The following is a 27,996-nucleotide window of genomic DNA, read 5'->3' as shown; positions in this document are numbered from 1 at the left end:
GACTTTTGGCCAATTCTCCACACAACAGATCACCGGTAGCTGGTATCTACATTTGCATACAATGTTTAACACTTCTCCAAACTGGTATCTATATTTGCACATGATGTTTAACACTTCTCCAAGTTTAAACACGTTTATTTCTACTTTGTTTGCTTTTTAAACAGATACAATTTATATACCACAAAATTCATCCTCTTAAAGTATATGTCAATGGTTTTTAGTTATGAAGTTGTACAACCTGTGACCGCTGTCGAATTCCAGAACGATTTCATCACTCCAAAAAGAAATAACATACACTTTAGCAGCTATCTTCTATTCCCCTGTTCTCCCAATCCCTGGCAAACACTCATCTATTTTCTATCACTATGGATTTGCCTATTCTGAACATTTCCTATAAAAAGAATCATAAAATGTGTGGCCTTTTGTGCCTGGCTCCTTTCACCTGGCATAAGGTTTTGCAGGTTAATCCATGTTGTAGTATGTATCAGTGCTTCATTGCTTTTAATGGCTGAATCACATTTTTTGTGTGTGGATATACCACATTTTGTTTATCTATTCATCGGTTCATGTACATTTGGGTTGTTTCTACTTTTTGACCATTATACATAATCCTGCTATGAGCATTCGCGTAAGTTTCTCTGTGAGCTATGTTTTCAGTTTTCTTGGTTATATACCTAGAAGTGGAATTGTTAGGTCATGTGGTTAACTCTATCTGTAGCTTTTCGAGGAACTGGCAAAGTTTTCCAAAGTAACCACACCATCTTAGCCATGTAGAAGCCAGTTTCTCTGTAACCTCAACAACACTTGTTTTTATCTGTTTTTAATTATAGTCATCATAGTGGGTGTGAAAGTGATATGTTATTGTTTTGACTTGCGCTTCCCAAATAACCAATGATGTTGAATATACTTTCATGGGTTTAGTGGCCATTTATAGATTTCCTTGGGAGAAATGTCTATTTAAATGTTTTACTCATTTAGAAACCTTTTTTTTTTAAATTTGGATTTGTAGTATTTCTTTATACATCCTAAGAGAATATATTCTCTTATATTCCAATGTATTATCTTAGGATGTAAAAAGAAATATATCTGCAAATGATATATCTGATAAGGGCCTAACATCGGATACATCATCTGCAGGTATGTTCCCTGAATCTGTGGATTGTTTTTCACATTCTTGATAGTTTTCTTCAAAGTGTGCTTCAAAGCACAAAGTTTTTTTCAATTTTGATGAAGTCCAATTTGCCTATTTTTTTCTTTGTTTGCTGTGCTTTGGGTATCATCTAAGAAACTGTTATCTAATCCAAGGTCACAGACATTTTTATTTACATGTTCCTAGAGTTTTATAGTTTTAGCTCTTATATTAAGTCTTTGATCAATTTTGAGTCAATGTTTATATATGTTGTCAGGTAGAGATCCAACATTTTTTTGTTGTTGTTACCAGGGAAGCCCTGAATAAATCGCTGGGAAAGTCTTTTTTCTTACTGTTTTTTCTTTAGTCTCTTATTTGTAGGCACAGCTGCTTAAAGACACCAGAGGGCTCAGGCTACATATCAGGAAGATATTATTGGCCCCATTGGAAATACACATCTTCACTCAACATTGGCTATTCTTACTTTAGGCTTTATCAACTTTGTGGAATCTTCTCCCCATGACAACAGCAGAAGTAGGACTGGTTCATGGACTCCATGAACCATCTAAAATCCAGAATTTCAGCAGAATTTGGAGGAAACAGTTACCGTGGGTATTAGCAGGTGCCCCTTAGTGCTTTCGTTTTGATTCAAAACAAAGCCCCCAAATATATTCACTATCACTATCTTTACGGCTCTACATTTGTTTGTGTACATATATATATATTTCAATAAAAAATTGTCTTAAAACTGGATTCCTGCAATATGCAACAACATGGATGAACCTTGAGGACATTATGCAAAGTGAATTAAGCCAGTCACAAAAGGATAAATACTCTGGGAGTCCACTTACATAAATTATTTAAAATAGTCAAATTCACAGAAGCAAAGAAGAGAATGGTAGTTGTCAGGAGTTAGGGGGAAGAGGGAGTGCGGAGTTGCTAATCCCCAGTATAACATTTCAGTTATGCGAGATGAATAAGTTCCAGAAATCTGATGTACAACATTGTTTCAATAGATAACAATACTGTATTATACACTTAAAAATCCAGTAAGAGGGTAGATGTTCTGTTCTGTTCTTACCACAATAAAAACAAATTGATTTTAAAGCCCCCCTTTCAACCCATGGAAATACATCTTCAAAAAAAAAACAGAAGAAAAAAAAACAGTTGAAAGCAGAACTACTCTGCATAAATCAGAATGTGGTTTAAGGTGAATGCAGGTGTGAAGATCTAGTTTTATATCAAATAAAATAAACCAATTAGTCATATACACTGGATAGCAATCTCAGGAGACTTGTTACCCGAAAAATGTGTTAGAGGGGAGAAGTAGGAATAATCTCAAAATGGCTTATATCAATGGTTTTCAGATCATCTTTCAAAGTTGTAATAGTTCCTAGAAAGTGTCTTAATGTTTACTGTGGAGAGAGGTGAAAAGAGATGGAGCAGGTAGGGTTCTGCCATCAGGACAGCTTCTTTTCACTGTAGGTTCAATTCACATCTGTAAAGTGAGCTTGTCAAGCAGAACAAAGCCCAAATTCAGCTTTAACTGAAAATACATTTTTGAACTACACACATTTTATTATTTAAATTATAATATGTGCGTGAAAGAGAAGGCATTCTGTTTGATGCTTCTGGGTGCCTGAGAGAGAGACAGACAGACAGAACGGTTTCAAAGGCACCTATGAAGAAACTATAGCTATGTATGTTGGTATAACCAGGCCAACTTAATCATCCCACCACCTCCCTGTAACCTTAGTTTCCTTTTCCATAATATAATGGGGCTGGGCACTGTTAGCTTAACAGTCCTTTCTCATTGAAGGCAGTACGACTTCATGACTCTGGGTTGAAGGGCAGGCATCTGGTGAGCCTAATTTTGCATCTTGTTAAAATTGCACTAAATGGGGCTTGGGAGACCCTAAATGTCACTAACATTCAAGGTTTCAGTGCAGAAAAAGAACACTTATCTTTTGGAGTTGAACTTAAACTAATCATGGAAGTGAATTTTGAATACTGCAATGTAGTGGCATATTGAAAAGTAAAAGAATAAAATAATCTCTTTGGCGTTTACAGGAGACTTCCTTTACCCAGCCTTCCAACCTACAAGCATCTCCCTTACCTGAAGTTTCCTCCAACACAAGAAGCAGCAAGAGGATATCTATGGTCACCACAATTAAGCAGAAGATGATCAGAAGGACTTCCAATACACTGAGCTTCCTCGCCATCTAGATAGACACAGATAATTGGGTTAAAACAAATCACAAGGCCCCACCAATCTAAGAGGATACATAATCATTGTATCCAAATGTGGAATTGTTTGCAAGATGACCTTGATTATCAGCATCCTCTTTACATAATCTAAAGAATATTTGTTTCCACTTATCAGTGTCCCTAATTAACTCTAGCTTTACATCCAACACCTGTAGAGCTCTTGCCTTTTTTGCATGTAGAGGAACTGAGGATTGTCCAAGGAAAAGTATATCAGACATGAAGAACTGAAGGGAAAATGTTGTGGAATAACACACAGAAGAGAGATGAGGGGCTGAGGTAGCTCACAAAACCCTTTAGATTTCACTTTGATCTTCACATCCACCTAATGTAGTAGACAGGAAGGTATGCTCAGGGAGAGAGAAAGTAGCAAAACTGGAATCCAAGTCTTCTTCTTTCAACTGCCCTGGACATGATGCTGAAGTCACTGTTGAGACTGTTTAAACGTCACTGACACTCTCAAGGATCTGGTAACAAAAATGATCCTGATACCCAGCATAAGTCTTGCTGGGAGGTTCACAGCAAACAACTCACATAAATTTCGTGGCTCCCAGTAACCCCGAAGATCATTTATTGACCCAAGATTTAAAATATTTTCTATATTGGAGGATGTACTGAACTGGGAATCAAAGGGGTTGAATTCTTGTCCTGATTTTCTTACTAACAGATGGGCTATTTACCTATTTGGACCTGTATTTCTTCATCTACAAAAATGACATCAGACACTGGATGTGTTCTCATTTTTCTGCTCTAATTATAGTAAATCTAACATTATTACATGTCTACAGATCCATGACAGCCCTCAGCTGCAATGCCTTCTTCGCCATTCCATCTCCATCATCCTCAAATGTTTGCTAGCCCCTGGAATTTATCATCCCCAGAACTGTTACACTTTTGAAATTGTAAATCCATATGCAAATGAGCAATGTCCTTTTACTGTCTCATTGTCTGACTTTATTTTATTTATTTATTTATTTATATATTTTGAGATGGAGTTTCACTCTTGTTGCCCAGCTGGAGTGCAATGGCACGATCTCGCCTCACCGAAACATCTGCCTCCTGGGTTCACCCAATTCTCCTGCCTCAGCCTCCCGAGTAGCTGGGATTACAGGCATGCGTCACCATGCCCTGCTAATTTTGTATCTTTAGTAGAGACAAGGTTTCTTCATGTTGGTCAGGCTGGTCTCGAACTCCTGATCTCAGCTGATCTGCCCACCTTGGCCTCCCAAAGTGCTGGGATTACAGGCATGAGCCACAGCACCCAGCCTGCCTTACTTTATTTTAAAAAAGTATCTTATCACATCAAGGCAGCTGTTATCTTTCCATTTCCTTTTAATCTCTTAGCCCTTCCTAGCTGTTAACCCTAACTGACCTAGGCCTCAGTATTGATTATTTAACTTGCCATTGCTCTCATCTTCCTCGCTCTCTATCTGCTAACAGAATCTGCAGGATGAAACTATCCATCCAAACATCTGCCTTCTGTGCTGCCGCACGTAACTCAAGGGAGATGCCACCGAGGCTCATAATCTCCTAAATAAACTGGGCCTGCAAGCCGACTGATGGTCTTGACAGTGCCTCTCACTTTTCGCAGCAGTAATTTTATTTTTATTTTATTTTATTTTTTTGCAGACGGAGTGTCACCCTGGAGTGCAGTGGCGCAATCTCAACTCACTGCAACCTCCACCTCCCAGGTTCAAGGGATTATCCTGCCTCAGCTTCCTGAGTAGCTGGGACTACAAGTGCATGCCACTACGTGTGGCTAACTTTTTGTATTTTTAGTAGAGATAGGATTTCACCACGTTGGCCAGGCTAGTCTCGAACTCCTGACCTTAAATGATCCACTTACCTCGGCCTCCCAAAGTGCTGGGATTACAGCATGAGCCACCGTGCCTGTAATTTAAAAAATTGTTCCTTCTATCCTTCTTTTCAGGCCTGACTCTATTACCTACACTCTTATTCTCATGCAGTATCATCTCTGATATCACCCAAAAAATAATGATTTTGCAGAAACTATTCTCTCTCTCTGCTTCTCAACCCAAGCGTTTCCACAAAGGTTATTCACATCTAGGTAAATTCTTATTTTTCCCCCTCTATTCTCAATGAAACAGTTTTTCCTCTTCTTGTTTAAGCATAATCCTTGTATCTGTTATCTAGATCTCACAGCTGTTGAATTTCTCAAAAATTTCATTCCACCAATTATCTCTTATTGTCTTGCATTATCAAATTCACTCTCTGAATATCTTTCCTTCATAAATATACCCCAAGTCACCCCAAACTCTGTTAATGACTCTGTGTGCTTCTGCAGGTAGCATAATAACATTCTTTTTCTTTCCAGTGCCAATCTTCCAAAACGATAGTTCCACACTTTCTGTATTCCCTTCCTCATGTGTTATTGGCTTGGCTGTGTTTTCTGCATTCCACTGGAAATGCTCCCACCGAGGTTACTAGTGACATAGTGGCTGAATACAATGGGCGCTGTCTTAATCACTTAACCACTTTCTCCTCCATGAAACTTTCCACATATGGATTCCTTGATAGGAATCTTGGCTTTCCACCTCTATTTCTGGCTTATCTTCAATATTCTTTGTAGTCTCCTATTTCTTTCTTTCTTTCTCTCTTTCTTTCTTTCTTTCTTTCTTTCTTTCTTTCTTTCTTTCTTTCTTTCTTTCTTTCTTTCCTTCTTTCTTTCTTTCTTTTTTTGAGATGGAGTCTCGCTCTGTTGCCCTGGCTGGAGTGCAGTGGCGCGATCTCGGCTCACCGCAACCTCCGCCACCCAGGTTCAAGTGATTCTCCCGCCTCAGCCCCGCGAGTAGCTAGGACTACAGGCACCCGCCATCATGCCCAGCTAATTTTTATATTTTTGTAGAGACAGGGTTTCACCATGTTGGCCAGGTTGGTCTTGAACTCCTAACCTCAGGTGATCCGCCCGCCTTGGCCTCCCAAAATGCTAGGATTACCTGCGTGAGGCACCACGCTCAGCCCTATTTCATTAAATGTTGATGCCCCCCAAATTCTGGTATAGGCTTCTTTTTTAAACTACGCAGACACGTTGGGTAATCTCCACCACTCATGTGACTTTATATGACATGTGATGGCAATCCAACCTGTATTTCTAGCCCAGGGATTTAGATTCATATATTCAACTGCCTATTGGATGTCCCACAGATTCAATAAGATTTAACATGTTTAAACATGAAATCATCTCTCCCCACACCTCACTCCCAGTTCCTGCCAATTTGGCCAAATTATCTGTTCTTCAAATAATTAATAACTTGAGGAATAGAATCACATTATAAAAAAAAAACCTAGGAATCTTTTTTTAATTCCTCTCATTCTGTTAGTTCTCACAGCCAGTTAACAGTTCAGTCAGACTACTTTCCCGGTATCTTTGGGTCATTACCCAAGTGACCAGCACAAACAGGGTCATTTGGATCTCCTATATTCAAGCCTTTAATGGATCTCTGAATAAACCAAAAACCCTTTAGCTTTGTGATCAAAGGTCTTCATGGCACGTCCTAACCCCAGCTGCTCAGCGTCTCCTCTCCCCATATTCCCACCATACTAAACCAGCACTTATGCAGCAACAAGCTATTAAATATAAGTCAGCAGGGACAAAGACTGTTCTCTCTCTTATTTTTATGTTGATTTTGCATCTCCTCTTACTTTTCATTTCCCTGCCTCCCTGCTCTTCTCAACTCCTCCCCAATGCCACGACCATTTCTACAAATATTTTTATATAGGTATATAGCTTCAATTTTTAATTACAGTAGCCTTTAGGTTAATGTGTAATAATTCCATAAAAGAAGCACTTTAATATTGAAATAGAGGTAAGGAACTAGGACCTACAGGTAATTTGCCAACAGGCATTTAGGAAGAACCCTTAGCCCTTGGAGACACGAGGTTTGGGATTAAAATTGAGGTTTATTAACTATTCTTTACTATTTACCTAAATTAATCAGTTGTCTCTCTTTTAGTCTAAATTATTTAAAAGATATACTCTAATCCCTATAAAATATATATCATATGACTGTATTCTCATAAAATCCCTGCATTGAAGCTGATCAGACAGATATCATGATTTCCATTTTATAGATGAATATTAAGAAATTTTGTCTAGTCACGGTTAGTGGTGGAACTGAGACAAACACCGAGAGCCGCTACTTTTTAAAATAGTACTTGAATACTCTCTCGACAATGTATCCTAGGCTGCAGAGCTTAAAGACTTAGAGGATCGGTCTCCAATGGTGGAATTTCAGGTAGAGAAAGAAGTAGGAAGGACCTACCCTAAGAGTGCTATGGTATCAAACTTCGTTTCTTATACATACAGCCCACAACTCAATACCACAGCAAAGGCATTATTCATCAATTGGTCTCTTTCTGCAAGTATTATTTCTCTCCACAGGGAGACTTTTTTCTTTCTAGCTTCTAAAAATCAGCAGCAGGGACCTACTCCACAGCTCCTCAATCCTCCTGAGGGAGCAGGTTCAGCACCTTAGCTCAGGAAGTACAGGAACGCTCTGGGAATAACCCTGGGTATTTTCCTGCCTTAGGAGCTATTGTCATTCAGGCAGAGGACAGGATGGGGATTCCTAAAGGTAGAAATTCTTGCCTACTTAGAAACCCTTCCTGCCCAAAGCTGGGAGGAATTCACCTTCCTCCAAATCCATGCCATCTTGAGATAGTTTCCAGAAGGATCCCATCTGTTTCCTCTGTCCTTAATTTCTCCCAGTGAGAGAGGAGGATCTCACACCAGACCTCCCCCAACCTGTCCTCCAAACACTGACACCACACACACACACACACACACACACACACACACACACACACACACAGTCTCTCCTCTCCATCAACTATCTCATCCTCACTCCTCATATTTTATGGAAAAGGAAGAAAATATTAAGTCCAGAAGGAAAACATGGGCATCCAGATCACTTAACAGAGCAGCAGACAGAAAATCACACAAAAAGAAAGGGACCTTCCTGCCCTTGTTCAAAGCCCTGCTTGCATGGAGAAGCGTACTCACCGCATCACCTTGTTTTTTTCTATGCTGTATCTCTCCCTCAGCAATTCATAGGGAGCACTGAGCAAAGGTAACTGGGCTGAGGTAGCCAGCTTCTGCCACAATTAATTTATTGCCTTATAAAGTTGACAGCAACTGGAGGAGGGGAGTGCATATTCCAATAGGTCATAAAAGAACGCTTGTTCTCCATGTGACACAGAATGAAAGCTCCTTTTGTTAATAAAAGGGGAAGGTGGTTTTTTTTCTACTCATTGTCCCTCTTCTGTATCCCTGTTCATATCTGATTACTTGTCACGTTATGTTTCCTCATCTATACATGTAGCCTAAAGGGCTCAAGAGCTAGGGTCTTGTCTATCTTCTTCACTGTTGTATCTCCTGTGCTTAGCACTCTGCCCAATATCCATAGTTCTTTTTAAATATATAGCTATTTATTTAATAAGTAAGTGAAAGAAGGATTAGCTCTTAGTTCATCACTTTGTTCTTTTCTCCATTTTCATCCTCCAGAGTTCTCTTGGTATAACTCAGCTTTTCATTAATTCAAATGATCCTTTCCACCAATTATTCTAAATAGTGAAGTACCATTAAAGTAGCAATTATACAAACCCGTCCAGGTGCAGTGGCTCACACCTGTAATCCCAGCACGTTGGGAGGCCGAGGTGGGCGGATCACCTGAGGTCAGGAGTTTGAGACCAGCCTGGCCAACGTGGTGAAACCCCATCTGCACAGCCAGGCATGGTGGCAGGCGGCTGTAATCCCAGCTACCCAGGAGGCTGAGGCAGGAGAATCGCTTGAACTCAGGAGGTGGAGCTGGCAGTGAGTTGAGATTGCCCTATTGCACTCCAGCCTGGACAACGAGAGCAAAACTCCATCTCAAAAAAAATAAAAGAGAAAGAATGTATACAAACCTAAAGTGGGAAGATGCCTCTAGTGGACATTTGTCATGTTCTTCGATGGCTCAGCATCTTTCAAAACCTCTTGCTAAGATGGGGGAGGTGGGGAGGGAGACAAAGGTAGTAACACTACCTATTGGGTACTATACTCACTACCTAGGTGACAGGTTCAATCACACCCCAAACCTCAGCATCACACAATATACCCTTGAAATGAACCTGTATATGCACCCTGAATCTTAGACCCTGAATCTAAAATAAAAGTTGAAAAAAATTTAAAAACGGAGGATCTTTCTTTAAAAAGAAAAAGAAAACCTCTTACTTAAATCAACTTAAGGACTTTTTCTCCAAATTCTGCCTCCCCAAAGAAACAGCTAGAAATTCTCTTTCACAGCCTTTCTTTCATCCAAGGTAGAGGCAAGTGGCTGGAGCTTTGTGAATGAGATATTCCTGTGAGTGACTTACATCCAGAAGAAGGTGTAGATAAGGAGGTACCATGTAAAATCCAGGATGTTGGAAGCATAGCTCGTTTCAGAGGCAGCAGGGACAAGAGACCTAGTGGCATCCTATGCTCAGTATTTGGGGTTGCGAGCTGCCAGATATGTGCTCAGGGCAGTGGCAGTAGAAACCGCTACAGGGTAACCTGGGGCTTGTCCCTAGCCACATGGCCTACAAACCTGACTCTCTAGTCCTACCGGAGTTTCAATGAGTCACCAATATCTTTTTAAAATTTTTCTTAAGCCAGCTAAAGTGGATTTTTAAATTGACATATAATTTCCAAACCATAAGATTCACTCTTTTAAAGTATACAATTCAGTGTTTTTAAAAATATATTTACAAAATTCTGAAACTATCACCACTATCTAATTCCAGAACATTTTTGCCACCCCCAAAAATAATTAGTGGTCACTCCCCATTCCCATCTCCCCCTGTTTCTGCAGCCACTAACCTACTTTCTGTCCTTATGGATTTGCCTATTGTGAACATTTCATATAAATGCAGTAATACAATATGTGGCCATCTGTGTCTGGCTTCTTTTACTTGGCATGATATTTTCAAAGTTCATCCACACCATTTCAGGTATCAGTGTCTGTTCCTTTCCATGTCTGGATAGTATCCACTGCGTGGATAGACCACATTTTGTTTAGGCATGTATCAGCTGATATACATCTAGGTTGTTGATACTTTTTGCCTGTTATGAACGATGCTGCTATGAGCTGACACGTTTTAAAATTCTGCCTGGAATATACCTAGGAGTGGAATCATGGGTCATGTGACAAGTCTTTAACTTTTTGAAGAACTGCAAAACTGCTTTCTAATGTGGCAGCACCATTTTACACCCCCATTCCTGCCAGTAATATATGAGGGTACAGAGAGCTCTTTTGGTGGCACCTAAGAACTGTAAATAACAGTGTTCACAGTAGTGAATCTTTTGTGTTTGCTTCAAATGCTCAGTATGTGGAAAAGCACACATACACACACACACGGAGAGAGAGAGAGAAAGTGAGAGAGAGAGAGGGAGGGACAGAGAGAGAGAGAGAGAAAGAGAGACTCGGTTTCTGCATTTATGAACTGCTGGAATGACATATTCAGCTTTTCATTTGCCCCAGTACAAGGTGGCCTTTGTTAGAGGGGAAATGTACCAAGATCTCATTTCAAATTGGGAAGACATCCTGGCAAAAGGTCAAGAAGGGAGATTTTATTGTTACATAAGATCTATTTTTTGTGTGATATTTTACCTTTAACTCCCCACATGCCATGCACATTTGTGACTTCATTTATGTTAATAGTGGTAACCAACAGGCCCAGCTAATCTATAACCTGTTTCCTAAAGTGCAGAAAATAGCTACCTTCACCTTCCATTCTTGCTAACTAGTAACTGGAAGATATTGAATCACCATACTGGTGTTGACCAATGAGAAAATAACAGAGCCACTTTGAAGGGTAGAGACAGGCACGTGACCCGACATCTTCCAGTTGTCTATCGGTAACAAGGCACGGCAAAGTTAGCTATTGGCGGAACTCAAACAGTTGTCACAGCAAGCTGCTGGTTGGAATCATCAGATCAGAAACTAGTAATATGAGTCACCCTTAACTTCCAGAACACCTTTCTCCAAGGCCAGATGCAAAACTCTCAGTGACTCTGCCGCTATGACAAGAACAAAGAAATATTGATGAGATCTTGAAGACATCTGCCACGGCCAACATAACCTTATCTTTGCAGGTATATATGACATTTAATGTTATAACATTAATAAGAAAGGAATAGATGTCTTCCTATTTAAGTGAAAGAGTTTGAGAGTGTTTTTTTTTTTATTTTGGCACACCTATGAAGAAAGCAAAATTATGTGATCTAAAAAACAGAGCATATGTGGAAAAGGAAGGCCCCCAGCCTCTTCCTGAATAGCTGGCCAGGAGTTGTAAGCATAGGTCCATGTTGTAGGGGCTGCTCTGGGATGGCCACAAATGGATATGGTTCCATGAGAGGTGGTTCTCAGACTGTGATCTGAGGAACAACCTCTGGGGGTATTATTGAGCGAAAGGGCTCACTCTTCGATGCGCTAGAAGCCAATACTCTGATAAAGGGTTTCGAAGAAAAGCTTTTATTGCAAAGTCGACTCACAGGACACAGGAGTCCAGCTCAAACCTGTCTTCCTGTGCTGGCTTTAAGGAAGTATTTTTATCAGAAAAGACTTAGGGGGTGGATTCTGGGATTAGCAGGTGATTGGTAAAAGAAAGAGGAAATCTAGAAAGTCCTCAGGCATGCACAGTTATCTCTTCATGCCTCATCATGGGTCTCATGTGCAAATTTGGGAGGGAGTTAGTAAGAACCTGTGGTGGAAATTCAGGCTGTGACGTCAGCAAGCTCTTTCTGCGTTAACTCCGGTAAGCCATATTGGTTCCAACAGATAATCTCTTTTTCACACATTTCTGGCTGAAATTTAGCATTTTGTTAGGTTATGAATGTAGACAACAAAACACAGTAGTTTTCATAGCACATGAGTTTGTCAATAATGCAATCACAGATCTTTCCATATTACATTATGAAATTGTAGTGGATATCTCAAAATATTGTTGATGTTGATCATTACATTGAAATTATAGCATTGTTACTTCCACTGTTGGATCTTTTCATTTAATTTGATAATGAAAAAAACACATCTCATGGGTTACTATATCATCTTTAATATTTGGATAAGTGTATCGTAATATGATAAGTTTTCTTTGAAATAGCATGCATTTTGCTTGATGCATTTAAAAACAATGTTGTGAGGAAGAATTCCGTAGGTTTCACTAGGCTGTCAGTGGGGTCCCTGACACTTCGTGTGCTCCAAAACCCCACTGGCCTCACTAGGGCCTTAGCCATCAGAATTATATAGTCAGAATGCCTCTCCTTAAGCATTCTGTGGCAGCCAGAGCCAAATTCCACCAACATATCCTTGATGGTAACATTAAATATTTTTTAAATATCAAGTAAATAACGTTTTCATCTTTGTGGCCTTCCTGAGTTTGTTAGAGGAAAGCTGACAAGTTTCCCACCTTTTTGATCAAAGGATTCCCATGGCTGCTTTTCCATATTTCACCAGTTTCCTAGTTAGCTCAGGCCCTCATCCAAATGCCCCGTATTGTGATAATTAGATGATTTAACAATATTGTTTGTCTCTAGCCTTATGCAGGTGCTGACACATGAGTGTGCAGGGAGAATGAATGGCTTCCTGGTTATAAGAAAAGAAGAAAACACAGAGAAGTAGGTTCATTCATTCCACACACATTCATTTTCAACTCATTTTCAGGTAACATCAAAAGTTAATATTCCTGTTGAACATTAATATATAATTTCCTTATCTCACATTTTAACCCTATAGAATTTTAAGCAAGAAGGTTGCAACTCCTATTTTTACTGGAGTTGGTATTTTCCTAAATATAGCAACTGCTATGATGATTAAAATAGTAATCAATAGACCCTTCCACAAACCCACATCTTATAAAAGACTCCTTGCAGAGATGTAAGAAAAAGGATAATTATAAAGGTTATCATCCTATTGGTGGATTTGGCTGTAGGTTCTGTGATGCCGAAGAGAACCAGAAAGACAAATTCATAAGAGTTTGCTAAACAAGAACCTTAACCCCAAACAGAGATTACTCATGGTCAAAATAGCACAAAATTCAAAATCACTTGCAAATTCACTTGTTTTATTTTTATCTGGCATATAAATTGCATATTTTTATGTGAAATGTGGTTGTATACATTAGAAATAAGATTTACACATTTCAAAGCACACTACTGCAAAAATAAATTATTTTTAACCTCCAAACTCTCTTTTGAGCTTTGCCTGCTCAGATCTCAATCTCACCAGTAGCCCTTTATGCTAAGGATTTCTCAAGACCCTCTTCTTCAAGTGAGTTGACTCTTCCTTTTTCCTCCCCATGAGGCTGCTGACAATTTTACATTATGTTCTTACTTAGGATCACTTTTACTATCATCTTCTGTTTCATCTGATCTTTCCTTGTGTTTGCCTTTTCTTTGCTTATCATGCTCCCCCCACCTATAACCAATTAGGTATATTATTCCTCCCACCGCCTATAACCAACTAGCAGATGTTCTTTCTGGATACTTTCTTGAGATGCTGATTAGCTTCAAGACCTGGAACTGTCACAGAAAGCTTTCTCTTGTGTATTTAACAAAAGAATGGGGTCCATTCTATGATTACAAACGTGGACATACACACACTTCATCATGGACCCAGTTCATCTTCAGTAAATGTCATATGATGAACAGTCACTACCATACTAACCACACAGAGACATTAAGGTAATGCATAGATTTTCCACACCTCCCTAACTGCCTATCCCACAGGGCTAAGGTTTAACCTTTAGGGTTCACACAAAAAACATATAACAAAATTAACAGAAATATTTCACCAATAGTGGGTATGAACAAATTAGCAACACACAATAATTTTTATGAGTATGAAGTATAAGTAGTTTCAAAGTCATTCATAGTTAGTTAGAATCTTGCTGTAAAAATTCACAGAGTGCTTATCCACGTCAATGAAGTAAAATTATGTAGGCTGATGTTTCTGTCAGTCACATCGATGCTTAATACCTGTTAGGAACCAAAGGAAAAGAATTGGGCATCCGGTGTTGAAATTTCCTGCATGCAAATAAATCAGGTGCAAGTATCCAGTCCAAATAACCCCCTAATACTTCTACATTGTATTGTCTAGTTAAAAGACTGCCTTCAAAGTTTCAGATGAGAAGGGTGTTTTCTAATTTTTTAGAGTACAAAGATTATTCAGTGGTAGAGATGGGCCTTTAAATAATTCAATATGGGCCGGGTGCGGTGGCTCACGCCGGTAATCCCAACACTCCGGGAGGCCCAGGTGGGTGGATCATTTGAGGTCAGGAGTTTGAGACCAGCCTGGCCAACATGGTGAAACCCCAGCTCTAATAAAAATACAAAAATTAGCCAGGCGTGGTGGCAGGTGCCTGTAATCCCAGCTACTAGGGAGGCTAAGCCAGGAGAATCACTTGAACTTGGGAGGCGGAGACTGCAGTGAGCTAAGATTGCACCAGTGTACTTCAGCCTAGGCAACAGAGTGAGACTCAGTCAAAAAAAAAAAAAATGTTCAATATGCAACCGCTGAAGAGAAACAACTGCACAAACTGGAGAGAATGCCCTCTTTTCCATTCTACTGAGGTGTTGATTTTCCTTGGCACCATCCTTCTGTTTCCTCCTTCTCCTATTCCACTATAGCACCCCAGTGTTTGCCCAGCAAGAGTCCACTATTCCTGCTTCTTCCTAGGCAGATGCTGTCAAGAAGCTTTCACTGCATGTGCCCTCATCAGCTTGCATGTCTGTCCCTGAGCTGGTCAGCAACAGGATTGGGCAAAGTCCTTTATGGTATAGTTGGGGAAGTTGTTGACAAGAAAACCACAAGTATGAGGAAATAACTGTAAAGAATGCAAAACTGAAAGAAAACTTTTGTTTCAGGCTTAATCATCAGGAAGGATTATGAAAGAAAAAAGTTCAGGAAAAAAAATAATAAGTAAGCACACAAGGAAGAAAGTTTCATTTACCATCGGGATGATAAGTGTCAGGACCACTACACAGCATTAATCCCAAGGTACAGATTTTTCACATATTTAACATTCATCTGACAAGAGCGTGTCTTGTAATCGACAACCATAGAATTACTGTGAGCCAAGCAGCACTCATGGCATAATTGTTATTGTCTGTGCCTGTGTAAGCTTCATTGCTATTACTGTGTTATGAATGGATGGGCTGAAAACATTTAAGGATTATTACAGGAAGGAATATTTAGTAAGATCAAGAAAGCACTAGGATGAAAATGTATATAAAGTGTGTTAGTGGCTCAGGAAAAAAACTTCATAGACACTAGTGGAAGAATTTTTATAAAATGCTGAATCACCAACACCTTTTGCAGTACAGAGGAAATATCTTAACCAATTTGTAACACATATTTTTCTTCTAAATAATAATAAATACAATAAACTAAATAATAAAACAGTTTAATATGAATTTAAATAGTACAATTTAAATACGATACAAGTTGGTTAAGCTATTTCTAGTGCTTCTTCACATTTAGGGTCTACCTCTTTTAAATTACGTTGAGGCAGAATCATCAATGTATCTCCACTCAACATTTTCCTCCATATTATCACTTACAATATTGAAATATATAGGTAAAACTTTATGGCTAAAGAAGTTTCAAAAACTTTCTATAAGTTTATTATAAAAATCTGAGGCTGGGCACAGTGGCTCACGCCTGTAATCTCAGCACTTTGGGAGGCCAAGGCAGGCGGATCACAGGGTCAGGAGATCGAGACCATCCTGGCTAACACAGTGAAAACCTGTCTCTACTAAAAATACAAAAAATTAGCCGGGCATAGTGGCAGACGCCTGCAGTCACAGCTACTTGGGAGGCAGAAGAATGGCATGAACCTGGGAGGCAGAGCTTGCAGTGAGCTGAGATCACATGCCACTGCACTCCAGCCTGGGCAACAGAGTGAGACTCCGTCTCAAAAAAAAAAAAAAAATTGAGTGATAAGGAAGCATTCTATCATAGTTTTGTCATCCTTTTTTCTTTCTTTGTGGCACATGAAATAATGAAGCAATTTTCACTGATGGTATCATATTTGATAAAATATGATAGTTCCAACCTGTTTGGGAAGTTGATCTCTGAGGCAGAGGTGAGGGAGTCAAGACAAAGTTTTACATAGGTTTGCAGACAAGAAGACAAACATGGAAAGTAAGAATCCAGGCCATGGATTCCAAATGATGATAAACCATGATTTTTCATTCATCTCCACGTGGTCCATTCCTAACACATGGAAAACTCAGGGATTCCCGGAGGGCCTGGCAGGAGAGGGCATCATTTGGAAGGGAAGCAGTCAGGCACTGCACTAGGCATATTAAGGGTGGAGAATACCATTCGCACTTTTTGCTGGTCACAAACCTGTGTCGTGGGGTCATTGTTGAAGGAGGGTGTTATGACCATGCCACTCACAGAGATGCTGACACTGGTAACGGGGACACTGCCCACTCCCCAGATTTCAATGTAGCCCAGTTTCAAAGGATTTGTACCAGTGATGTAATTGTTGAAAATTATATGGCTTTGCATCGTATTCTGTTGAATTGGAGATAAAAGAAAAATATAATAGCAGAATTAGTTCAAATTTTTCTAACCTCTTTTTAGGCACAAATGTAGGTCATAAAGTAAGACAACTTCAGAGTCACCATCTTGTAACTTTGGATCATGGAAATCATGATTTCATCACTCTATGGCCTATTGCCAACTCCCATCCACTTTGCATTGACAAGCAGCTACAGGGTCTTTCGCACTGCCCTGAACTCTACAGGAGACAAAAAGTCTCAGCTGTTAAGATACTTATATTCTACAGGTGGAGGAATCCCAAAATGTGCAGACCATTCCAAGGCAACTCAGGAACAAGGGCTAGATAACAGAAACTGCCCGTCCACCTGTAACATGGTAAACTAGAATAATGATCATTACTGATGAGATGTGGATAGGTTTAATTGCAGAAAGCCTCCTGGGAGCATAGTAAATTTCCACCGGAAGTCTAGAGAAGTAGAAGAATGTGAATTAGCAAGATGAGCAATGAAGAAATTCTAGGTGGTATTTTATGCCCTTACGATATTCAGCACCCTCCTAAGCCAGTGGAACCCTATTCTCACTTCATATCAATCACACTCACCTGGCTGGCAGAAAAGCTGGCCAAGTAATAGAGTCCTTTCCCATAGGTATCTGCAAACAAAAAACAAGATAAACATGGCCTGGACCTGTGCTGTAGAACTCTATGCTATAGAATATATAAATGCTGTTCTAATTGCCTACTTGTCTTGTTTGAGAGAGTAAGGCTTATCTTTGTTTTTATTTCTGTCTTTTGAGTGTTCTATTTTAAAATGTAAGTGCTCTTTATGGAGACTAATCAAACCCTGCACCCACACTCAGTTTACACAAAATGCTTGAAATGAATGTGTATAGACACATCTGTCTGACAGAGTCACTTCATATAACACAGTTTCCTGACACCATTTTTAAGTCACTTCTCTTCCTTGTGGTCTACCATCCCAGCATCTTCCTAACCAGCTCAGAATTTCCAGGTTTCTTTTGCTGTATGTACACATCTCCACACACACATTTATATGCATATACATATGCAAACACCAACACTGGTGTCTTGGTGGGTTTATCTTGAGGTATTAGGCAAATTTAAAAATGTGATCTCCAGAGAACAAAGATGATCAAAGAAAAGCCTTCTTTGTCCTTTATCCTAAATGTGTGCCACAGGCCTAGGAAGAATATGAAGTTCAGCACAGCCGGTGAAGGTGAACTAGTCAATAGCTTGGTTTCAAGTATTCCCATCCTACACCCTGCCCTCGTGGCTGTCACACTCTTTCCTGTGTGCTGGCCCCTTTCTTTTTCTTTCACTTTTCTTTTCTTTCTTTCTTTCTTTTTTTTTTTTGAGACAGAGTTTCGCTCTTGTTGCCCAGGCTGGAGTGCAATGGCATGATCTCGGCTCACTGCAACCTCCGCCTCCCGGGTACAAGCAATTCTCCTACCTCAGCCTCCCAAGTAGCTGGGATTACAGGCATGTGCCACCATGCCCAGCTAATTTTTTTGTATTTTTAGTAGAGAGGGGGTTTCTGCATGTTGGTCAGGCTGATCTCGAACTCCCAACCTCAGGTGATCCGGCTGCCTCGGCCTCTCAAAGTGCTGGGATTACAGGCGTGAGGCACTGAGCTCGACTGTGCTGGCCCTTTTCTAAATGACTCACCACTCAGTCAGTTGCCACTGGCTATCCCTTAGAACTGTGCTGTCTAAGATAGCAGTCACTAGTAAAATGTAACACGTTTAAATTTAAGCTTGTTAAGATTGAATAAAATTAAAAATATAATTCTTCAGATGCACTTGTCACACATTTCAAATGCTCGATAGCCTCATATGCCTACTAGATACAATATTGAACAGCAGAAGATATAGAACATTGTCATCACTGCAGAAAGTTCTATTGGATAGCACTTGTCTAGAAATAGCTAATAATTTCTTGAGCAATCCTCCTGAGAGTTTACCAATTCCTATAAACTCCTAATAGAAAATATCCCATAAATAATACAACGGATAGAGGTATTACCCCTCTTACTGGGACAGTAAACCATGTAATTCGGGAATGTGTCCTTGACCATAAATCCTATGAAAGTTTATCTCCGCTGGCTACAAATAAACTTTCCCCATGGCTCCCATATTGCTACCTTCTATAGTGGATTACAAAGGTTGCATAATGGGAGGTGATTCAGAACTGAGCTTCATTTACATGAGGAATAAAGATCATGTCCAATATGGATTATACCCTTGAATTAACAAATGATTATATTTTAAAATGCAAAATTGTTATAATAGGGAAAAGGTGAAAGCAGGCCTGTAAGATAATCCAGGAATGTAGTCAGTGCCATCAGCATGAATCTCAGGCAACCTCTACTCACCAATGCTTTGCCCATCATCCCAGAAGAGCCAGCCCCCAGCAGTTCCTTCATCATCCAAGGCAATTTTGAAGCCCATGAATTTCTGGCGGCTGCAGTGAGCAGGCAGAGAGGCATTAGCTAAAAGTAAAGCCACAGCCACAAACCAAGACTTTACATACAAACATAAAGCAGCAAAGGGAAGTGCTTTGGGGGATAAAGACTGCATACTAGAATTCAAGAGACTTGTGTCTTAGTTCTAATTCTGTCTCTGTCTGGCTCTATGACTTCATATCATGAACAAATGAATTAGTGAATGAATCAAGAGGATTCTGCTTTAAGGCTCTTAAAATAATGACAACCAGACTAACTGGGTTCTTTCTTTTCCTTTTGAAAGGAAAATCCTGATGCTGAAAATCTGTTTTCGTGACCTAATATCTGAAACATATACAGGGAGTTCTATTTTCAAATGTCCTAAGTTCTTCATTTTTATTTAAATCTTTAGAATCAAATGAATAGGGAGTCTAAGAATGTTAGTATTGATACCAGAGAGATGTGAATTTTAGTCCGCATTCATGTACTTAGTAGCTGTGTGACTCTGAGCAAATCACTTAGCCTTTTTGCTCATCTATGAAATGGTGGTAACAGTACTAACCTCACAGAATTTATGTTTTCCTTTTGCTAAGAAAAAATAGATAATTTCCACATGGAAATGCCCATATTCATATAGTTCTAGGCACAGGGCAAGCACTCACTGGATGTTAGCTATGGTTAATTTATACATAGACTTTGATCTAGAATTTTAACATCTTGTAGAGGAATAAACAATTTTTCAGCAATAGTTTTATTAGGAAATATTCAATCAGACCCAATAGTATACTAAAACTATTATGAATCGTGGTGGCTCCTATTTTGACTTCCATTTCAATTGTGAGATTGAAAGATGACACTCTTAGACCTATCAACTCACCCACTTAGACATAAAAGAGCTGTTAATAATTAGTCGAAGAGTATAGAGTCTGAAAAAGGTTAAAATACAAACAAGCAAACAAAGAAAAAACAAGTGTTGAGTAGAATTGCATGTGGGTTTGAGAGTGATGCTTACATTTTGGTGGACTTCATTACAAATTGTTGAGCTAACTGACATGTAAAGGAAAACCTGAGTCCTGTCACTTACCTTAAGTGGGTGTTCAGTGCAGGCTCTTGCCAGGGCAGGATGTAGCCCCCACGGACATGAAGATTAATGTGGTCAAGAGGGGCTGGCAAGGTCTTCCACTCTCCTCTTGCATTAATATCCACACCCTGGAGGCAGAAGAAGGTAAGAGATGACTAAGGAGAGGACAGGCCCCTCCCTGAACAATGCATCCTGCCAGACATCTCATCCTCCCTTCTGAACTTATGCCTGCTCATCACCCTTTGCAACATACCTGCCATTACCCATTCTGCATTCACCCAGTGCTGCAAGAAATCTTGCAAGGCTGCTATAATATCTTGTTAGGGTCTCTTGCCTTTGCTTCCACTGTACAAACTACATTTGCCTGATGTGTGACAGGAAGAGGTGCTACTCTCTCACCTGTATCAGAACCTAAGGGACCATGCTTCCATCCTACATGTTCTCAACTAGAGCAGGGCTTTTCAGTCTCAGCACTATTGAGATTTGGGGCCAGACAATTCTCTGGCGATGGGGCTATCCTGTGCCTTTTGATATTTAGCAGAATCCTCGGATGTCAGCCGCATCACCTCCTCACCCCCACTCTGTTGTGACAACCAAAAATATCTCCAGGCATTGCCAAATGTCCCCTGGTAGGCAAAATCCTCTCATTTCAGAGCTGCTACTTTACAGGTAAGAAGCAGTTATTGTTGACAACAAGCGAACAAATATGCATGGCTGTGTTCCAATAAAACTTTATTTGCAAATCAGCTAACAACCAGATTTGGCTGTGGGCCATAGTTTTTGCCAGCTTGTGCTCTAGAATGAGTAATAGTTACCCAAACTTGGGAAGATTAATTAAGGTGACACTTCTTCATTAATATTAACTATGAAATTCATCTTCATTTTAATTAAACATCAAAATTTCATCTTTTTCTAAATAGCTTGCTCCATGATTTCTTTTGTCTTTTCCTCTTCAACCAAAGACATCTTCTGTTAGTGAATGGGAGACTCAACATGCACACTCAGGACAAAGGCCAGTCTCACGTAAAGAAAGCTGGCCACCTCTTCCTGGGAAACGCCTGGCTGGGACACACATAGCAGAGCCTTAACATGTTACCACCCTAAGGGCAGATCCAGACTAGCAGCAGGAAGAGGAGTCTGGGGCTGTGGAGAGGACTTGGGCTCCAATGGACTGAGAAGAGAAGGAACAAAATGCACATCCTTCTCCAGTTTTCACCTAATCTCACTGCAATCCCCTTGGATGAAAGGGGCCAGCACATGCTCTGCTTCCTGTATCCCTGCTTGTACCCCTTTGCTGTATTTCCAGCCCTCAACGATGTTCTCCTCAGAAAGTCAGAAGAGGCCCCATTAGAGACCAAGGAAATGCCTTCTTTGATTCTTCCCCAAGAATCAGGGTCTGACTTGTCAGGGTCCCAGCAAGAGCCCACCACCCCAGAGCTGCCCGGGAAGACCCTGGCTTCCCAGATAAGTCTTTGGGGAACATAATAGCACAGAAACTATGCGGCAAGGAGCTCTTCATTGCTTCCTCATTTCTAAATGCACTTGCACTGCTTAGACTCACAAGGGTTGGGTCCCATACCTCTGTGTGTGTTTTGCACATTGCCTAATCACTTGCTTACCTTAGGTAATTATGTGCAGTGCCCTTCTTTGAGCATCTATGCTATGGAAGGAGATATTTAATAAAAAGACAGAGACAAAAAGGCCTCTATGCTTACAAACTTACAGCAGGTAAAGATATAAACATTAAAAACAAAAACTATAGTTTGCAACACAATCTCAAAAGCATCTGCCTTTACAAAACATTGTAAATAGCAGTGATATAAGAAAATATTAAAAATTAACACAAAGAGAACACCCACGAAAAACCTGAGTGAGATGCTTTATGTGTCATTTCACAACAGTTCTATGAGGGAAGTGGTCTTACTCCACTTGGAGGTGAGAAAACCGAGGTTACAAGGGTTAAAGTGGCTTCTCTAAGACCACACAGCAGGTGGGTTACAGAGCCAGCATTTGACCTAAGGTCTATCAGATCTAAAGCCTTTGTACTCTCTACCATTTTCCCGTGTTGTATAAACATTCAGAAAAACTTACCGTGTAGTAATCATACCAGCGGGCTCTAGGGAAATATGCAGTGACATTTCTGGCATTCTAAAATGAAACATAAACAAGGTGTGGCAGTGGCACCATTTTCCAGGACAGAGAAACCAAAATACTTAGGAAAGAGGTTAAATAATTGTGATGGCCTTGGGCCCACTTGCCTCATGTCCCAGGAGGTCACCTATTGAGGAAACCTTCCATCCCTTTTCCTTTTTCAAACAGGAGAGATCTGTCTACCCCAAAACAAGTGGCTTTCATAAAGCACTTTGGTACCCAGGACTTCGGGAAAAAAAAAAATTCACTATTTGCTTATAGAAATAGGCTTACGCCATTCCCTCTTAAAGAGACAAACAACTGAGGTTGTGTCTGGGGCAGAAAAAAATTCTGTGGGTACCATAAGATTTGCGGGCTGGACACGGTGGCTCACGTCTGTCATCTCAGCACTTTGGGAGGCCGAGTCAGGCGGATCATGAGGTCAGGAGATCAAGACCATCCTGACTAACATGGTGGAATGCTGTTTCTACTAAAAATAAAAAAAAAAATTTAAATTGGCCGGGCCTGGTGGCACGTGCCTGTAGTCCTAGCTACTCGGCAGGTTGAGGCAGGAGAATCACTTGAACCTGGGAGGCAGAGGTTGCACTGAGCTGACATAGCACCACTGCACTCCAGCCTGGATGACAGAGTGAGACTCTGTCTCAAAAAAAAAAAAAAAAAGATTTTGGGAAGGTGCAATTAACTGGTATTTTAATCAGAAGCCTAATCAACAATAGAAGTAAAGAAATGGCTTTTACTGCTGGGAGGAGCTCCTGCAGAGGAAGGGAAGGGTTAGCCAGCAGCAATACAAGTACACACACATTGCCAAGCAATCCTTCTGAAAAGTTGTAATAGTGCTAGAGGACTGTTATGAATTCTTTACAATACTGCCCCCATCTGATCTTCTATTCCTTATTTTAGTTAACGAAGAAACGATTGTGTCATTGAATATACCATGAGGTGTTTTCTTCTTGATCATCCTATGAACCAGAATTGTTAGGCTCATTTTAAAGATGAAGGAGCTGAGGCCAAGAACACCTAAGTGATGGACTTCAGCTCAGAAAGAGAGGAAGAGACACAGGTAGAATAAGAAACCATGTCTTAGGACCCCCACCAGCTCAGGCCTCTTCTCCTCGTCCTTTTCCCCAAGCCTCACAGCTGGGATCCTCCCCTCATCGGAGGCCTCCATACTCACACGCTCCAGGACAGGGCTGACCAGGAAGGCTGGGCCCAGCAGGAACTGACTGTCTATGTCCCATGTCACCTGGTCTGACACAAACCTGGAAAGGGAAATGAAGGTGCCCAACAGAGCCCAACAGAGCCCCAGCCCGACACTCTGAAGAAGCTCCTCAAGTTCAGATCCAAGTCGGAAATACAGCTGCCCCTGAGCCATCCTTGCCTTTTTCCTAGGCCTAGCTTCATCAGGAGCACCCAGCCTCTGCTTTCCCCATGGGATGTGCCTCAAACTTCAGAAATGCTGGGATGTAGATGTATTCTCTCTTGTAAAATACTTGCCCCATTTCTCAACCATGGCAAACTTCAAATGCAAGGATGGCCCTTTTCCCTCAAATCTCTTCCTGAAATCCTTCTCCTGTGATCTGGCTACATATAACCAAACTGCTACAAAAGATAGATAGGCCTTTGCACAGCCAAATTAGAAAGAAATTATTCTATGCTATACTGCATCATTTCAGTTTTGCTCATTCAATCAATAACCTTTTATTAATGACCTAAGGCATGTATAGCACTGTGCTAAAGAGAGTAATAAAGTATGGTCTGCACCTGAAGAGCTCATGTCAAAAGGCAATCATGTCTTTAATTTGGAAGAATTCAACTGTCACCATATAGAATGCAATAAGTCATCCATTAGGCATTGGGATCCCTGCTGGACACTCACTCATGGAGCAGAGGCCGCACAACAGTGACGCCCTCCGTGTGGGCCTTATGCATCAAGGTATACAGATATGGCAACAGGGTGTATCTGGTCTGCAGGACAGTTCTGGAAATATTCACAAAAGCAACATCCCAGGACACAGGGTCTTGTCTCTAAAGGAGAAAGAGAACAGTGTTGGGAGCTTGCCCTGGAATTTCTAGGGGATTTAAGAAGGTCACTGAAAGCATACTCCAATTGAAGATCACTCACAGCTAAACAAAAGAAAACTACACATGAGGCCCAGAGAATATTCTTAATAGACTGGAAAAGTTCACTGATGCTCTCCTAGGACAGCTGATGAAATTTCACTGTAAGACATTCTTTTTGGTATATTTTTTACAATTCTGCCCAAACAAGAAGAACAAAACATAATAATAACCTAAAGAACACTGAGGAATATGGCTCACTGAGACCCATGGGCTTAACAATTTATAAGGGTGCAGTGGCTCACGCCTGTAATCCCAGCACTTTCGGGGACTGAGGCCACGAGTTCGAGACAAGCTTGGGAAATATGGCAAGATCCCATCTCTACAAAACACAAAAATTAGCTGGGCACGTTGGTATGTGCCTGTAGTCCCAGCTATTCAAGAGGCTGAGGTAGGTGAGTCGCTTGAGCCCCAGAGGTCAAGGCTGCAGTCAGCCATGATTGGGACACTGCAAGATCCAGCTTAGGCAATAGAATGAGTCTTTGTCTCAAAAGAAAAAAAAAAAAAATTTTAAAGATATCACAGGAAATACAGACTGCATTAACTTTAGGTCAGAAATGGAGGCTGTGTTTCAAGTGAAACACTGGAGGTAGGGGCCACTGTCCTACCCTGGTCCCAATGGTGTTGTGGTTTCTTGAGAAGGGGTAAAAGGCCCCCAGCTGCATCCAGCGAACACACATCTCATATTCAGCATCTTGAAAGAACCCACAGATATCTGCTCCCGTCTGAAACAAGAGGAAATAAAAGGAGCCTGCTGATGATTTCTGAAAGATGTCCCCACCTTCTTGGTGCTTAGGAGGATCCCAAGGACACTCACATAGGATATGCCGAAGAGGCTGAACTCCATCATGCCTGCAACGAGAAGCACAGCTGTGTCACACCAGGCTCGCTCTCACGACCTGCCTCCTCACCTCTTCCCCAAGGATCCCAACTCCCTGCCCTACCGGCACAGGCCCTGGGAAGGACCCACGCACCAATGATAGACTTCTTCAGCTGATCCCACGCGGCTGTGTTGTCTCCCAGCCAATGTCCTGCCCAGCGGCCAGAAGAGGGAAATGTGGAGCGGGTGATGACGACCCCTCGCTGTCCTGTCACCTCCTGCACGGCTCTGGTTGGAGGGGAAAAGGAGGTGAACTGAGGGCACCGCCAGGAAGCAAAGGCCATAGAGCATCTGCTCCCAGAGCCCTTGAGCCTAGTCAATGTTTGCTGCGTGATTGGAGGGAACACGGGACTCTGAGCTGTAATGGGGGCTCCACTGATCCCAGATGATGGAGATAACGAGTCACGTGTTCTCACAGTGCTTTACAAAGAACTTCACTGTAGCAAACTCACTGGAGTGCCCCAAAAATAGTAAGGAATTACTAAATCTTGCTATTGGTTTCCCCAAAACTTAGTTTTCTATATTTGAGGAGGAACACAGTGAAGATTATAAGATCGTCCTTAGAAGAATTCACACTATTAATTGAGCTTACAAAGCAGGACTGTGCTAATTCAGTGGAATACCAATTAGCCTCCACCAAGAATGGTGAAAAACAAAAAAGAACTCCAAAGATGATTCACTTTGAAATAAAGGGGAGAGATGCCCAGTCCTCTGTGTTCCCTTCACCTCCTGTAACTGAAGCTGTTGTACCACCGGCTGCCCTCTGTGATCATTATGATGTCTCCATGTGAGTCTTTCCCACTAGGATCATTAAGCTTTTCACTGGTGGGACCATGCCTTATTTAAATCTGTCCTCCTCCTTTTAATCACAGGGCCTGGCTCCATGTCACTAAGTGTTTATCTAATAAGAATCATTACACAGTTGTCATGAGAATCTTCTTAACCCTTAGAATGGGAATGAAAAGAAAAGTAGGGTAGCTATGTCAGTCACTGGCAATCCCTACAGGTTGTGACAGCTGGAGAAGGGAGACAGAGACTCACTCGTATGTGGGTCTGGTCTGGGACCACCCGTACAGGTTGTGCACATTGTAGTGCTGCACCGGGGAGCCGTCTGGGAGGATCTGCTGACTCTCCATGCACAGGGTCTTGCTGCTCAGGCCCCTGTCCCTGGACTCCAAATCTGAGGAGGAAGAACTGGTGAGGTGAAATCCAGCCCTGATTCTGTTTCTCCCTGACTTCTCTTCAAGGGACTGGGCCCTGGATCTTAAGACTAACTTCAGTCCTGCCTGTGTCACTCTCCGTCTTCCCAGAGACATGAGCACAGCGCCCCCAGCTCTGAGCTGCAACGGCGGCTCCAGTGTTTCCAACATCAAGTTCACTGAAGAAAGCAGAGGTGTCAGGAAGAATGTACAGCTGTCAAACACTATATGACAGGCTCTTATTTAGGCTTTTGACTTGCCAATTATTTCCATAATTCTATGAAGAAGATCTCATTACCTGTCTTTTACAGTTTAGCAGACTGAGATTTGGACATATCGCATAATCTGTGAAAAGTCACAAAACTCCTAGAGAGAACAATTTCTGGAACCAAGATATGAACCCAAGTGTAACTCCAAAGTCCATCAGCTCCACAATAAAGGCAAGCCAATAATTTCCACCCATTGATGACACCAAAAAATTCCTGTGATGGAATTCACATAAGCCTAAAAAACTAACAAGCCTAGCTGTGAGAACCCTTTGGTGGCATGACCACTCGTAAGTGTTTTCTAGACAAATTCAAAAAATTTGTGCAATGAGTCTAGTCACTTGCACATGCCCAGCTGGGTAAAGCGCGTGCAGAGCTTTTGTCTCTGGTCCCCAGTAAACCACAGCAGCCATGAGGATGTGCCCTGAGCTGTGCGGCCACCCCTGGCCTCGGGCTCCTCCAGTGTAATCCTTCTTTCAATCATGGCTCTGCCAATCAAGAAGGCCAAGGATTCTTACACGGCATGTAGGGAGGGTGGTTCAGAGAGGCATCCCTGCAGCCTGGAGAAACTGCCCCATTCACGAAGCTTGATGGTTCATTCATATCCTAGAAATGCCAAACACAGACATACCTCACTTTTTAAGATAATTACGTCCTGCCAATTCTGAGCCAAGGAAGCAGTGAATACATTGTTCAACATCCAGTAATCCCTATAGATGCCAGCCCTGGGAGCTTCATCAAATCCTGGTGAGAACTGGCTAGAAAGATGAATTCACCCCTACAGAACAACTGGCTAGAGGGTTAAAAAAAAATCTCTCTCAAGGTGGGCGTGAGGCAGTGAAAGTTCCAAGAAATTCCTAGTCAATTGCCTCAGAGGTTTTATAGTAGTAATGTCAGG

At 41.1% G+C, this 27,996-nt stretch overlaps 2 protein-coding genes across 15 annotated transcripts in view; both read right to left on the bottom strand.

Moving 5' to 3' along the window:
* Nucleotides 1–8,507, bottom strand: part of MGAM2 (maltase-glucoamylase 2 (putative)) — a 110,607-nt gene extending 102,100 nt beyond the window's left edge. For all 3 annotated transcript variants that reach the window (XR_927547.3, NM_001293626.2, XM_024446997.2), the window contains exons 1-2: nucleotides 8,418–8,507; nucleotides 3,246–3,351 (exon numbers count right to left, since the gene is read on the bottom strand). Coding sequence is in view for 2 of the 3 variants with exons in the window: in NM_001293626.2 (NP_001280555.1) it covers nucleotides 3,246–3,351 (106 nt within the window). In the remaining variant the exon portion in view is untranslated. The remainder of the gene's footprint in view (nucleotides 1–3,245; nucleotides 3,352–8,417) is intronic.
* MGAM (maltase-glucoamylase) overlaps nucleotides 13,478–27,996 on the bottom strand; it is a 120,230-nt gene continuing 105,711 nt past the window's right edge. For 10 of the 12 annotated variants that reach the window (XM_017012772.2, XM_047421011.1, XM_011516672.3 and 7 more), the window contains 13 exons: nucleotides 27,617–27,704; nucleotides 26,675–26,813; nucleotides 25,728–25,861; nucleotides 25,571–25,605; nucleotides 25,362–25,478; nucleotides 24,512–24,660; nucleotides 23,810–23,894; nucleotides 22,576–22,632; nucleotides 20,488–20,612; nucleotides 19,335–19,423; nucleotides 17,546–17,595; nucleotides 16,786–16,956; nucleotides 13,478–14,411 (listed from right to left, as the gene is read on the bottom strand). In XM_017012772.2, coding sequence (XP_016868261.1) covers nucleotides 14,334–14,411; nucleotides 16,786–16,956; nucleotides 17,546–17,595; nucleotides 19,335–19,423; nucleotides 20,488–20,612; nucleotides 22,576–22,632; nucleotides 23,810–23,894; nucleotides 24,512–24,660; nucleotides 25,362–25,478; nucleotides 25,571–25,605; nucleotides 25,728–25,861; nucleotides 26,675–26,813; nucleotides 27,617–27,704 — 1,317 coding nt within the window. In that variant the 3' untranslated portion in view covers nucleotides 13,478–14,333. Of the gene's footprint in view, nucleotides 14,412–16,785; nucleotides 16,957–17,545; nucleotides 17,596–19,334; nucleotides 19,424–20,487; nucleotides 20,613–22,575; nucleotides 22,633–23,809; nucleotides 23,895–24,511; nucleotides 24,661–25,361; nucleotides 25,479–25,570; nucleotides 25,606–25,727; nucleotides 25,862–26,674; nucleotides 26,814–27,616; nucleotides 27,705–27,996 lie in introns of those variants that run through there. The other 2 variants (NM_004668.3, XM_047421013.1) reach the window with 2 other exon arrangements.

Source organism: Homo sapiens, chromosome 7 (assembly GCF_000001405.40).
Source record: "Homo sapiens chromosome 7, GRCh38.p14 Primary Assembly".
Classification (NCBI taxonomy): Eukaryota; Metazoa; Chordata; class Mammalia; order Primates; family Hominidae; genus Homo; species Homo sapiens.
This window is presented reverse-complemented; position numbering and strand designations above follow the sequence as displayed.